General features: G+C 43.5%; 1 protein-coding gene across 7 annotated transcripts in view, besides 9 other annotated features; it reads left to right on the top strand.

Annotated features, from left to right (window-relative positions):
- Window positions 126-817: an enhancer, noted in NCBI's record as "OCT4-NANOG-H3K27ac hESC enhancer chr12:122985833-122986524 (GRCh37/hg19 assembly coordinates)". NCBI's record gives its function as "activates a minimal SCP1, AML or CMV promoter by ChIP-STARR-seq in primed H9 embryonic stem cells {active_cell/tissue: H9 hESC(primed)}" and the evidence as "EXISTENCE:reporter gene assay evidence [ECO:0000049][PMID:30033119]".
- Window positions 753-932: an enhancer, noted in NCBI's record as "active region_7229". NCBI's record gives its function as "activates an Ori minimal core promoter by ATAC-STARR-seq in GM12878 lymphoblastoid cells {active_cell/tissue: GM12878}" and the evidence as "EXISTENCE:reporter gene assay evidence [ECO:0000049][PMID:35858748]".
- Window positions 753-1,511: a biological region, named in NCBI's record as "OCT4-NANOG-H3K27ac hESC enhancer GRCh37_chr12:122985139-122985832".
- Window positions 818-1,511: an enhancer, noted in NCBI's record as "OCT4-NANOG-H3K27ac hESC enhancer chr12:122985139-122985832 (GRCh37/hg19 assembly coordinates)". NCBI's record gives its function as "activates a minimal SCP1, AML or CMV promoter by ChIP-STARR-seq in naive and primed H9 embryonic stem cells {active_cell/tissue: H9 hESC(naive and primed)}" and the evidence as "EXISTENCE:reporter gene assay evidence [ECO:0000049][PMID:30033119]".
- Window positions 983-1,042: an enhancer, noted in NCBI's record as "active region_7228". NCBI's record gives its function as "activates an Ori minimal core promoter by ATAC-STARR-seq in GM12878 lymphoblastoid cells {active_cell/tissue: GM12878}" and the evidence as "EXISTENCE:reporter gene assay evidence [ECO:0000049][PMID:35858748]".
- Window positions 1,171-13,473, top strand: part of ZCCHC8 (zinc finger CCHC-type containing 8) — a 29,333-nt gene continuing 17,030 nt past the window's right edge. For 4 of the 7 annotated variants that reach the window (NM_001350935.2, NM_001350937.2, NM_017612.5 and 1 more), the window contains exons 1-5: window positions 1,171-1,461; window positions 3,234-3,276; window positions 9,314-9,388; window positions 11,536-11,641; window positions 12,640-12,717. In NM_001350935.2, coding sequence (NP_001337864.1) covers window positions 1,263-1,461; window positions 3,234-3,276; window positions 9,314-9,388; window positions 11,536-11,641; window positions 12,640-12,717 — 501 coding nt within the window. In that variant the 5' untranslated portion in view covers window positions 1,171-1,262. Of the gene's footprint in view, window positions 2,131-3,233; window positions 3,277-9,313; window positions 9,389-11,049; window positions 11,169-11,535; window positions 11,642-12,639; window positions 12,718-13,473 lie in introns of those variants that run through there. The other 3 variants (NM_001350938.2, NM_001350936.2, XM_047429117.1) reach the window with 3 other exon arrangements.
- Window positions 1,243-1,322: an enhancer, noted in NCBI's record as "active region_7227". NCBI's record gives its function as "activates an Ori minimal core promoter by ATAC-STARR-seq in GM12878 lymphoblastoid cells {active_cell/tissue: GM12878}" and the evidence as "EXISTENCE:reporter gene assay evidence [ECO:0000049][PMID:35858748]".
- Window positions 1,463-1,612: a silencer, noted in NCBI's record as "silent region_5016". NCBI's record gives its function as "represses an Ori minimal core promoter by ATAC-STARR-seq in GM12878 lymphoblastoid cells {active_cell/tissue: GM12878}" and the evidence as "EXISTENCE:reporter gene assay evidence [ECO:0000049][PMID:35858748]".
- Window positions 1,463-2,203: a biological region, named in NCBI's record as "H3K27ac hESC enhancer GRCh37_chr12:122984447-122985138".
- Window positions 1,512-2,203: an enhancer, noted in NCBI's record as "H3K27ac hESC enhancer chr12:122984447-122985138 (GRCh37/hg19 assembly coordinates)". NCBI's record gives its function as "activates a minimal SCP1, AML or CMV promoter by ChIP-STARR-seq in naive H9 embryonic stem cells {active_cell/tissue: H9 hESC(naive)}" and the evidence as "EXISTENCE:reporter gene assay evidence [ECO:0000049][PMID:30033119]".

Raw genomic sequence — 13,473 nt, 5'->3', positions numbered from 1 at the left:
TACGCCTGGCTAATTTTTGTATTTTTAGTAGAGACAGGGTTTCTCCATGTTGGTCATGCTCGTCTTGAATTTCTGACCTCGTGATCCACCTGCCTCGGCCTCCCAAAGTGCTGGGGTTGCAGATGTGAGCCACCGCCCCCGGCCCACATTTCTTTGTGTGATCAATATCCATCAACAACCATCTCGACCCAAGAACAGGAACATTTATAATTATGGGGTTTTTGTTGCTTTTTGTGGACTACAGCCTTCGTGAGAGGAGGAATTACTCTATTGTGGTTACTCTTGTAACCATACTCAGGTCCTAGACAAGTGCCTGGCCCATCGAAGGTGTAAGTAAATAATGTGATTGAATGACAGAAAGCCTCAACAGACAAATAGTTGAGTCTAGCTAATCTTACATTAAAAACGAAGCAAGCTCAATAAACTAATCTACAACAGTCATCTCTGTAGCAAAGCTGGAGTTTCTTATTCTCTTTTATGTTTATTTTTATTCAGTTCCCTTTCAGGCTATGGAGTTCCTTATTCTCTGGTGTGGCACGCACACCAGAATCTGTGAGAAGCTATGCGTCGTGCTCTGATTTTTCACCCTTAGTTGCCTAACAGGAACATCCCATACTGGTTTTTGTTTTTCTTTTTCTTTTTGAGACAGGGTCTTGCTTTGTCTCCCAGGCTGGTGTGCAGTGGCGCCATCTGGGCTCAATGCAGCCTCGACCTCTTGGGCTCAAACCCTCCCGCCTCAGCTTGCCGAGTACTTGGGACTACAATCGCCCAGCTAATTTTTATATTTTTTTGTAGTGTCTGGGTCTCGCTCTGTTGCCCAGGGTGGTCTCCAACTCCTGGGCTCACGTGATCCTCCCACCTCTGCCTCCCGAGTAGTTGGTATTACAGGTGTGAGCCACCCCGCCCTGCCCCCAGATTGCTTTAGCGCATTCTGACCTACTCCAGCTTTCTTCACATTTCAAAAAGCACCAATCCCAGGATGCAATGCAGACAATGAGTACCAGTCGCTTAGAAACCACACGTCCCAGCATGCCGTCCTCCGGGCAATCGCAAGCCCGATAGGCCCCGCTGCATTCCGGGAGTTGTAGTCTCTAGCGACTGGCCCCGCCCCGTGTGCAGCTTTCGCGGCCTGCGTCTGGAGAAAACCCTAGCGGGTGGCTCCGTGCGGCCAGAGCTCTAGAGAGTGGTGCCGCCTTCCAACCTTCTTCCCCAAGCCCTGGTGGCCGGCTCCGCCTCTTCTCGAATCTTTTCCACAGCCCAAAATGGCCGCAGAGGTGTATTTTGGCGATCTAGAGCTCTTCGAGCCGTTCGACCACCCAGAGGAGTCGATTCCGAAGCCCGTTCACACTCGCTTCAAGGACGACGACGGCGACGAGGAGGACGAAAATGGGGTCGGCGACGCGGAGCTACGGGAGCGGCTTCGGCAGTGCGAGGAGACCATCGAGCAGCTCCGCGCCGAGAATATCCTTTCCTCTCGCTGGGCCCTGTCACCCGGGTGTGGGGCCGGGGCAGCGCCAGGCGTGGGGCCGGGGCAGCGCCGGGCGAGGGCGAGGGCGCGGGCGGAAGTTCCAGGAGGGCCAGAATTCCAAGTGCTTTCTGTCACCCGCCGGCGGACCGAGAGTCTAGGGTTCGGGGCGCGCAGGCTGCCTCGGCGCAGACCTCTTCCCCTCAGGGAGGCCGTCTCCTGACCAGACCCACTCCTGCCTCCCACCCGGGTGCCGTGTTTAGGGTTATTTTAGGCTGCTCACCTGACAGATTGTACACAAGCCCTTAATTGCCCCCCTCTGTTTGAGGTCGTGGTGAGGTTTCATATTTCGCAGCCACGCTCAAATTGTGCCGTCATGTTACAGTTGTAGGTGATGAAATACCGGCTGCTTAGACGCGGGATCGGTTTTTATACCGGGGCAAACGCTAGTGGTCCCAGAATGCAGAGTTGGGGGCCTCAAGGAATCCGGGTGTGCTGAGATAATTGGTTAATTGCTTGATTAAAATTGGGGATTAATTTTAGAGTTCTTCCACTCGGAGCTCGCTTCTGTGCTGAAGATGCTTTGCAACGCCTTGAGGAAAACGCGCCAAAGAAGTTTCTGTTAGACTTGAGTTACAAGATTGCAGATTTTTCTTGATTTGCTAGTATGTTTTTTTTTACGTTCGTAGAGTTTTATAGGTAGATAGATAACTTTGGTTCGGGTAGTTTTCCTTTTAAAATTTGTAGAGAACTGAAAGTGGCTGATATGTTAGCTTTTTTAGGGGGACGGGGTCGGGGAATGGAGTCTCAGTCTGTTGCCCAGGCTGGAGTGCAGTGGCGCGATCTCGGCTCACTGCAACCTCCGCCTCCCGGGTTCAAGCGATTCTCCTGCCTCAGCCTCCCGAATAGCTGGGATTACAGGCGCCCGCCACGGCGCCCAGTCAGTATATCAGTTTTTAAGGTTTGTGAAGCGCGATTTATTTTTTCAGAATGTCGTCTTCCTCCACATTGTGAGGAAAATTTTCAGAATACAAAAAGTTGAGGCCGGGCGCTGTGGCTCAAGCCTGTAATCCCAGCACTTTGGGAGGCCGAGGCGGGTGGATCATGAGGTCAGGAGGATCATGAGGATCAGGTGGATCATGAGGATCAGGAGGTCAGCCTGGCCAACATGGTGAAACCCCGTCTCTACTAAAAATACAAAATTAGCCGGGCGTGGTGGCGCGTGCTTGTAATCCCAGCTACTCAGGAGGCTGAGGCAGGAGAATCCCTTGAACCTGGGAGGCGGAGGTTGCAGTGAGCCAAGATCACACCATTGCACTCCAGCCTGGGCGACAGGGTGAGACTGTGTCTCAAAAAAAAAAAAAAAAAGTTGAAAGGATTCTACAGTGGACATCCATAGATTTATTCCAAATTCTAAAGTTGTTAACAGCTCGTTATACTGCATTCTCTTTATCACATAGTGGTTGTTGAAAGGTTTGACAGGAACACTGATGCTTCAATAATGGTTTTGGTTCAGTTTGTTAGTCTGTTGAACTTCAGGATCGTGTCTTAGAATATATGTTCGAAAGGATAAAAACCGTACTTTAATTTTGGGTTTCAAAAGCCTACCCCTGCAACAAAATAGAAGCTCAATAAGTGTGTCATCCTCAAAATATCCGTGGGTCTTTTGTCTTTATAATATTCTGACACCAAAAGTGAGAGAAGTAGTAGTTGAATTTTATGATTTGCATTGTTAAATGAGGGCTTATCTTCCTTAACAAATAATAACATCAAGAACTTAAACGAAAATTGAACATTCTGACTCGACCGAGGTATGAGATTTTTGAAATTACTCCATAGTTGTCCCTTATTATTTATCCTGATATTAATATTTAATCAGAATTTCGTTGTAAAAAGTGTATGGGATTTTTGTATCATTTTTATTTGTTTAGCATACTCTGAAGAAATCAAAGTAATAGTTATTTAATTGTGGGGATAAGGTCTGAATTCTCATAAGTGGATTAAAATTGTAAGCTCATTTATTGGATGAAAGGATGAAACAAAATCCAGAAAATGTTTACTTAATGTTCAGAATAGGCAAGTTGTTAACCTAGCTATTCCTATTTAACAAACATTTCTAGAAAGTTAGAATTAAGATTACAATATTGGCTGGGTCTGGTGGCTCATGCCTGTAATTCCAGCACCTAAAAAAAAAAATTATAGTATAATGGGCCAGGGGCAGTGGCTCACGCCTGTAATCCCAGCACTTTGGGAGGCCGAGGTGGGCGGATCAACTGAGGTCAGTTCGAGAGCAGCCTGGGCAACGTGGTGAAACGCTGTCTCTACTAAAATTACAAAAATAAGCTGGACGTGGTGGGCGCCTGTAATCCCAGCTACTTGGGAGGCTAAGGCAGGAAAATCCCTTGAACCCGGGAGGTAGAGGTTGCAGTGAGCTGAGAGTGACAAGAGCGAAACTCCGTCTGAAAAAAAAAAAAAAAAAGATTACAGTATTACTCTAGCTGAAGATTTATTTACATAGTTAAAATGTGTTCATAAATAGAACAATGAAAGAATCAGCATTTTAGAAGAAAAAGTAATGTGCTTTTGAAAAAGATAAAGTGTGTAGATTTGCATTTAGGCATCTGATTTTATGTTTTTGTTTTTGTTTGAGACAAGATCTCACTCTGTCACTCAGGCTGGTGTACAGTGTTGCAATTATAGCTCACTGAAACCTTGATCCTCCCGCCTCAGCCTCCCAAATAGCTGGGACTACAGGCAGACACCACCACACCCAGCTACTTTTTTTTTTTCTGATAGAGTCAGGGTCTTGCTGTGTTACTCAAGCTGGTCTCAAACTCCTGGCCTGAAGTGATCCTTCTGCCTAGGCCTCCCAAAGTGCTGGAATTACAGGGATGAGCCACCATGCCCAGCCTAGGCACCTAACTTTAACAGAGATATTACTGGTATCTCAAAATATATATTTATTTAACAGGTCACTAATCTAAAGTATTTGTTAAAGTACAGATTATGAGAAATTATATTTTCAAGCTTTCAGAATTTGGAGGTGCCATGATGTAATTTCACATGCACTTTTTTATTATATTTTTTAATTTTTTTGAGACAGAGTGTTACTCTGTTTCCCAGGCTAGACTGCAGTGGTACTATCTCAGCTCACTGCAACCTTCACCTCCCGGGTTCAAGCAATTCTCCTGCCTCAGCCTCCCGAATAGCTGGGATTACAGGTGCCCACTACCACACTCGGCTAATTTTTATATATTTAGTAGAGATGGGGCTTCACCATGTTGGCCAGGCTGGTCTCGAACTCCTGGCCTCGAGTGATCTGTCCACCTCAACCTCCCAAAGTGCTGGAATTAACAGGCATGAGCCACTGCACCTGGCCTCACATGAACTTTTTAGTCCCTGGCACCAGTTGGAATAACTGGCTGCAGTGGTGACTACAGGTTTAAATTTTAGAATTTAGAAATATTTCAGATTTTTTTTTTTTGAGATGGAGTCTCGCTCTGTCGCCCAGGCTGGAGTGCAGTGGCATGACCTCGGCTCACTGCAGCCTCCACCTCCTGGGTTCAAGCGATTCTGCTTTCTCCTGCCTCAGCCTCCTGAGTAGCTGGGACTACAGGTGCCTGCCACCAGGCCCGGCTAATTTATTTGTATTTTTAGTAGAGATGGGGTTTCACCGTGTTGGCCAGGATGGTCTTGATCTCCTGACATCATGATCTGCCCGCCTCGGCTTCCCAAAGTGCTGGGATTACAGGCAGGAGCCACCGCACCCGGCCAATATTTCAAATTAACTTCCTCATATCTCACCCTTTTTTCTCTATGTGAGCTAACTTTGTGTATCTAAACTCATTTTTGGCTGGGCACAATGGCTCACACCTGTAATCTCAGCACTTTGGGAGGACTGCTTGAGACCAGAAGTGGGAGACCAGTCTGGACAACATGGTGAGACTCTGTCTCTACAAAAAATTTTTAAAAATTAGCTGGATGTGGTGGCATGTTCCTCTGGTCTCAGCTACATGGGAGGCTTAATAAAATAAACTAAATTTTGATTAGGTATTCAATATATTAAATATAACTAGGATTCCTCATAAAAGTCATAATTTTTATATGTTAAAGATGTTTTATTTAGATAAGTTTACACTTTCTAATGGAGTCATTCATTTAAACATTTAATATTTATCTTAAATTGGGTGATTTTTATCCGAGTTCAAACGATTACCGCATCATATAGGCTTTGCCAGTTTATAAGCACAAAGGATTAGTATCATGAAAAAGAAATAAATCAGTGTTTTCTTAGAATTGGTGCCCTCCATATTGTCAGGCTGATAAAGTGTTGTACAGAAAACCAAGGAAAAAGGACAAATTAAATTATTTAGATAAAATTTGTGCTCTCAAGCCTTTTGATTTAGTCCTTATTTTTGAAACTGTTATAATCAGAAGTTTCTCCTGGTTTTTGTTTTTTTTTAAATTTTTTGAGACAATTTCTCACTCTGTCGTCTAGGCTGGACTGCAGTCGTGCAGTTACTGCTCACTGCAGCCTCAACCTCCCAGGCTCAAGTGATCCTCCCATCTCAGCCTCCTGAGTAGCTGGAACCACAGGAACATGCCACCACACCTGGCTAACTTTTGTATTTAGCTTAGAGATGGGGTTTTGCCAAATTGCCAGGCTGGTTTCAAACTCCTAGGCTCAAGTGATCCTCCTGCCTCAGCCTCCCAAAGTCCTGGGATTACACTGGGCTTAGTCTGTTTCTCCTTTTTTTTTTTTTTTTTTTTTTTTTTTTTTTTTTTTTTTTGAGACAGAGTGTCACTCTATCGCCCAGGCTGTAGTGCAGTGGTGCGATCTTGGCTCACTGCAACCTCTGCCTCCCAGGTTCAAGTGATTCTCCTGCCTCAGCCTCCCGAGCAGCTGGGATTACAGGTGCACACCACTATGCCCAGCTAATTTCTGTATTTTTAGTAGAGACGGGGTTTCACCATGTTGGTCAGGCTGGTCTTGAACTCCTGACCTCATGATCCACCCGCCTCGGCTTCCCAAAGTGCTGGCATTACGGGCATGAGCCATCGTGCCCAGGCCTCTCCTCTTTATTTAATCAATAAACATTTTGTTGGGTTTTGTTTGTTTGTTTTACTTTCTGTTTGTTTTTGAGACAGAGCCAGAGTCTCACTCTGTTGCCCAGGCTGGAGTACAGCGGCATGATCTTGACTCAGTGCAGCCTTTGACTTCTGGGTTCAAGCTATTCCTTCACCTAGGTCTCCCGAGTAGCTGGGGCTACTGGTGTGTGCCACCACGCCTGGATAATTTTTGTATTTTTTGGCAGAGATGGGGTTTCACCATGTTGGCCAAGCTGGTCTCCAGCTCCTGACCTCAGGTGATCTGCCATCCTCAGCCTCCCAAGGTGCTAGGATTACAGGCATGAGCTACTTTCCCTGGCCTTCTTCTACTTTTATTGTGAAAATATACAAAAAATGAAAAGAACAGTATGGTTAGCACCCATATTTTCCTCACTTAATTTAACATTTAATATTTTTGCCATATTGCCTCCTTCTAATCCCATGCACATTTCAGCCCAAGTATTTCAATGTGTATTTTTAAAAATAGAGACTTTTTCATGCATAACCACCACTCAATTATCACACCTAATAACTGCAATGACTTCCTTAATCATATCTCCTACCAACTCCATATTCAAATTTCTCCAACTGAGTATATTTATAGCTGGTTCATCAAACTGGACTCACTTTAGGAACCATGCAGCTGCATGTGACTTTTAAAAACATCCCTGGTTGGCCGAGCGTGTTGCTCTGTCACCCCGGCTGGAGTGCAGTGGTGCAATCTCAGCTCACTGCAACCTCCGCCTCCCCTGTTCAAGCAATTCTCCTGCCTCAGCCTCCTGAGTAGCTGGGACTACAGGCGCGTGCCGCCACGCCTGGCTAATTTTTTGTATTTTTGGTAGAGTCGGGGTTTCACCGTGTTAGCCAGGATGGTCTCCATCGCCTGACCTTGTGATCCACCCGCCTCGGCCTCCCAAAGTACTGGGATTACAGGCGTGAGCCACCGTGCCTGGCCCTTTTTTTTTTTTTGAAACAGAGTCTCGCTGTGTTGCCCAGGCTGGAGTGCAGTGGCACAATCTTGGCTCACTGCAACCTCCACCTCCTGGGTTTAAGCAATTCTCCACCTCAGCCTCCCGAGTAGCTGAGTTTACAGGCATGTGCCACCACGCATGGCTAATTTTTGTATTTTTTTTTTTTTTAGTAGAAACGGGGTTGCACCATGTTGGCCAGGCTGGTCTCGAACTCCTGACCTCGTGATCCACCCGCCTCTGCCTCCCAAAGTGCTGGGATTACAGGCATGAGCCACTGCGCCCAGCCTCTTATTTTATTTCTTTACTTGATATGGACAATTCCAAATAGAGACATTTATTTCACATGCTGTACAGGAAAAGAAATATGAGGCAGGTGAGAAGAGGAAGAATCAGACATTCAGCTGGCCCCGGGCTACCCATGGGATATATTACAGGTTTCTAGGCTGCATTCTAGTTCTGTTTTTTGCGGTATTTGAAAGTCAAATCCAGGAATAGTATACTTTTTTATATCTCTTCTTTAGAATCTTGGATTTGAGATATTTAGTACAATATGCTTTGCCCTCCAAGAGTCTATTTATAAAGTGTTCTTTCCTATATACTTCCAAGCCAAATTCATTTAGATTCCTTTAGAAAAATACAGGCACAGGCTGGGCGCGGTGGCTCACGCCTGTAATCCCAGCACTTTGGGAGGCCGAGGCGGGCAGATCACGAGGTCAGGAGATCGAGACCATCCTAGCTAACGTGGTGAAACCCCGTCCCTATTAAAAATACAAAAAACTTAGCTGGGCATGGTCGCAGGCGCCTGTAGTCCCAGCTACTTGGGAAGCTGAGGCAGGAGAATGGTGTGAACCTGGGAAGCAGAGCTTGCAGTGAGCTGAGATCACACCACTGCACTCCAGCCTGGGCAACAGAGTGAGACTCCGTCTCACAAATAAATAAATAATTAAAATAAAAATAAAAATACAAAAATTAGCTGGGCGTGGTGGCGCTCGCCTATAATCCCAGCTACTCAGGAGGCTGAGGCAGGAGAATTGCTTGAACCTGGGAGGCAGAGGCTGCAGTGAGCCGAGATTGCCCCCACTGCAATCCAGCCTGGGCAACAGAGCGAGACTCCATCCCAAAAAAAGAGGAAGTATATTCTTGTAACCTGCTTGTTTACCTAGTCCTTCCCTCCCCCTAATTTGTAAGGAAATCGGCCATTAGACAAACTGTTTGGTTGAAAACTGAAAGATTAACTGCAGTTCTTAATTTTTTGTTAAACATTAAAAAAAAAGTGATACCTCTGTATAAAATTATTAAAGTAGATAGAATTGGTGAAAATGTATAATTTTCTTGAGAAAACTGCAATATGTGGAAAATGCTATATGATTTTTGGTACTTAAGAATTTTAAGGCTGGTGAGATGGTTCACAGCTATAATCCCAGCACTTGGGGAGGCTGAGGCAGGTGGATCCCTTGAGCTCAGGAGTTCGAGACCAGCCTGGCCAACATGGCAAAACCCTGTCTCCACAAAACATACAAAAATTTGCTGGATGTGGTGGTATGCACCTGTGGTCCCAGCTACTTGGGAAGGTGAGGTGGGATTGCTTGATCTCGGGAGGCGGAGGTTGCAGTGATCCAAGATCTCACCACAGCACTCCAGCACGAGCGACAGAGTGAGAACCTGTGTCAAAAAAGGAAAAAAAAAGTATAAAAGTTATGCGTTTATATATACGTATGCAAGTTTTACTTAAATATCTTCTAAGAATATGTTCTAACTTCTGTTTTAGTGGAATATTGGTGAACGATACTAAGTTAGATGGACCTATATTACAGATTCTATTCATGAACAATGCTATTTCAAAGTAAGTAATTTTTTCCCTTTCCTAAATATAATAATGTGTTTATGGAACAATTTTCTCTATAAATATGCTGTTTTCATTTGTACTCATATCATTTTTATTATTTTACTTAAAATGCCCCTGGAGTTAAAGTACAAGGAATCATGATTAAGAGCAAGGACATTGGGGTCACAGTGACCTGAATATCTGGACTCTTACTTTCTATGTCTGTGAACCTGGGAAGGTCACAGATCTTTGCTGCATCATCCGTTACTTCACTGGAAAACAGGATAGTCATAGTAACTACCTATGGGGTAGCTACATGAGCACCTCTAAGAGCTCAATAAATAGCTTCTAATAAAAATCATCACTATCACTGTAACAATAACAATGATGTTCACCATTTCTCTTTCTGAATCAGGTAACTGAGTTTTCCATGTTGGCCATCTTCAAAGCCTACTCACTTGATTATTTGTTTTAACAGCAAAACTAGACTTTTGCAAACCATCAGCATCAGGGTTTAGGGTGACCCTGCGCATTCCTGCAGTGTTTGCTCAGAGTGTAAGGTCTAAAATGGTTTGCTCTGTCCCTCCTTCAGAGCATGGTCATAGACATTTCACATAGTTGCTTGCTCCCTCGAAAGTCACTTAGTCATATTGTTGTCTTCTTAATGCTGACCAAGGTCAGGTCCATAACCTACTCTATCCCAGCAGAAGTGGAACCCAAGGCTCTGAGGGTTGGGAAGCTGGATGCTAAATACAGCAGCAAGGTGCTGGGCACAACTGGGCTGTAGCACTAGTGTCCCTCTCATGCCCAGGTTAGAATCAGTAACCCTCTAGCTCATGACGGTCTCATTTCTGCACCATTCACCTAGTGTTTCACCTGCAGAAATCTTTTTTTTTTTTTTTTTGAGATGGAGTTCCGGTCTTGTTGCTCAGGCTGGAGTGCAATGGCACAATCTTGGCCCAACACAACCTCCACCTGCCAGGTTCAAGTGATTCTCCTGCCGCAGCCTCCCACGTAGCTGGGATTACAGGCATGCACCACCATGCCCAGCTAATTTTGTATTTTTAGTAGAGACGGGGTTTCTCCATGTTGGTCAGGCTGGTCTCAAACTCCCGACCTCAGGTGATCCACCCATCTCGGCCTCCCAAAGTGCTGGGATTACAGGTATGAGGCACCGCACCTGGCTTTTTTTTTTTTTTTTTTGAGATGGAGTTTCACTCTTTTTGCCCAGGCTGGAGTCCAATGGCAAGATCTTGGCTCACTACAACCTCCACCCACTGGGTTCAAGCGATTCTCTTGCCTCAGTCTCCCAAGTAGCTGGGATTACAGGTGCCTGCCACCAGGCCTGGCTAATTTTTGTATTTTTAGTAGAGACAGGGTTTCGCCATGTTGGCCAGGCTGGTCTCGAACTCCTGACCTCAAGTGATCTGCCCATCTACAGAAATCTTAAAATGTCAGAGCTACAAGATACCTAAAAAATCATCAAGTCTGTGAAAAGGAAACTGAGTCTGAGACATTATGGCTCCCCGATTACATGGTAATAAGGCTTGGGCTCCTTTGACACCTCCTGAACTGAGCACTACCGAATATATGATGAGCTTGGTTCTTGACCTGGAGGGCTGGGGAAAGCAGATCTCAGTATTTTTTCTTGCTTTGCATTTTGATTTTATCTTTTCCAGTTTCATATTTATATTGGTGTTTCCTTATGTACGTATTAAGAATCTCTGGGAGGAGGATGTGGAAGACCTGAATATATGGACTATCTTTGTGTTGCAGAAATAGATGGCCAAGAGACAGGGTAGGAAGGGAGCTTTTCATTATGTAACCCTTTTACTTCTCTTGGATTTTGAACCATTTACATGTAGTATCTATTTAAAAATTAAGTACACAGAATTTTTAAATAAAATCCGTGTATTCTTTGCACAACTGGTTGGCAGTTGTTATGCCAATCACTGTGTTACTTTATCATAATTATTGCATTAACTTGGCAATAATATGTAATTTATCTTAAGGAATATGTTCCTGAGTATTACAGAGTCAGTGATTTATTAAACTTCTGAAAAACAACAACATTCACACTTGAAATCTTACAGTAATGCATAAGACTTCAGTCTATTGAATGTTTTACTCTGTCTGGGTTCTGACCATTTTGTCCTCTTACACAGGCAATATCATCAAGAAATAGAGGAATTTGTATCAAATTTAGTAAAAAGATTTGAGGAACAGCAGAAAAATGATGTGGAAAAGACTTCCTTTAATCTTTTGCCCCAGGTATTTCAAATTTAAGAGACTTTAAGATTAGTAAGTTATGCGTTTCACTGCCAATTATTGGGCCACAAGGATCCTCTTGAATCAAAACCAAAATGATTAACACCGTTTACCACTTCTCCTTCTACTGGCTTGCTTTTCCGAAGCCTGACTGGTTTAGCCACACAGCGTTCTTTTACCTTGTGGCTCAGACTTTTTACATTGCCTGACTTGGACATGTGGTTTTGGGTAGAAAATTAATTTTAGGCCAGAAAAAAATCTAAGTTTCTGGGGTTTATAAAAGATGGATTCCTTTTATCTAAAACCAACAGGCTTGTGGACTATCCTTTTTTCCCTCTACTTGTTTTTAGAAAATTAATTGTGTGCCCAAAGAAATCTGAGAAGTTTTACTATGTGAATATTAGATCACGCATTTATGTTTTAAAAAAAAGAGAGAGAGAGAGAGGAGAATCAGAGTTATGATTTCTGGGTCTTTTTTTTTTTTATTAAAAATTAAGGTAAGTAGTATTTCTCAAATAAGGAACTTTAGCTGTTTATCCTCAGGCTTTGGAGAACAGTGTTCTGATTGATTACGTTTTTTATTGCCTTTGGTTTTTATGTATTCTGTACAATTTTTAAAGATTCAGCAAACAAAATACATTTAACAATAAAATTCATACTGAATATTATTTTTGATTCAAGGAAACTTTTGTAGTGGCTTGAGGTCTGTGAGGGTTATATTATCAATATTGACCAGTAATGTAAAACTATATATTTTTGATCTTTCTGGTTATCTGCCTTGCCAGTTTAAAGTGTTGAAAGCGGCATAATTAATACTGGTTAAAAAAGAAGTTGTAGTGCATGCTAGTGCTTCAGAAGAAGCTCTCCTTTTACATCTTCCATTCTCCCACATGAAATGTCGTTCATAAACATTCTTAGCTTAATTTCTAAACTTACTAACTTCCATTTAAACTGGTTAAAAATTGGTTACCGGTTGTAATATGTGTTTTTCTTTGTATTAGCCATCCAGTATTGTGCTAGAGGAGGACCACAAAGTGGAAGAGTCCTGTGCCATTAAAAACAACAAGGAAGCTTTCAGTGTAAGTTTGGACATTTCAGTTTTGAATTCAGCCAATAGGTGTTTCCTATCCTATGTCAACTGGGTGGCGTTTAAAAGATAAAGTAGTATAGTCATATGTCTTCACTTGATAACAGCATCTTTTTGTGGTAAATAGCAGTTTGGACTTTAGCCTCAGTTTGCTGTTTAATAATGATTGCGTTGTGACCTGGGGCACAGTAAACATACTTTGGAGAACTTTGTTTTTGTATTGACCAACCACTGTGTTTATTCAAGAAGTTGGATGAAGATATAGAAAGCATGCTTGTTGAACTTATACATGGCTAAAGCTGAGAGGGATAGATAGCTAATGTAACAGATGGCAAATTTGGAATTTAAAGTGTTGACAGTCTCAAATGGTGGGTGAAAAACAGAAGAAGTTAACAGGGATGACCTACATTTAGGCTACAGCCTTTCAATACCTGTGCAAAATTCGTTAGTGTTAATACAATGTAGTAGTATGATTTTGCAGCTTATAATTTTTTTTTTTTTTTTTTTGAAACGGAGTCTTGCCCTGTCGTCCAGGCTGGAGTGCAATGGTGCAATCTCGGCTCACTGCAACCTCCGCCTCCCGGGTTCAAGCAATTCTCCTGCCTCAGCTTCCCGAGTAGCTGGGATTACAGGCACCCGCCACCACGCCCAGCTAATTTTTGTATTTTTAGTAGGGACAGGGTTTCACCATGTTGGCCAGGCTGGTCTCGAACTCCTGACTTTGTGATCCACCCTCCTTGGCCTCCCA

The sequence above is a fragment of the Homo sapiens genome, chromosome 12, assembly GCF_000001405.40.
Source record: "Homo sapiens chromosome 12, GRCh38.p14 Primary Assembly".
In the NCBI taxonomy this organism is placed as follows: domain Eukaryota; kingdom Metazoa; phylum Chordata; class Mammalia; order Primates; family Hominidae; genus Homo; species Homo sapiens.
This window is presented reverse-complemented; position numbering and strand designations above follow the sequence as displayed.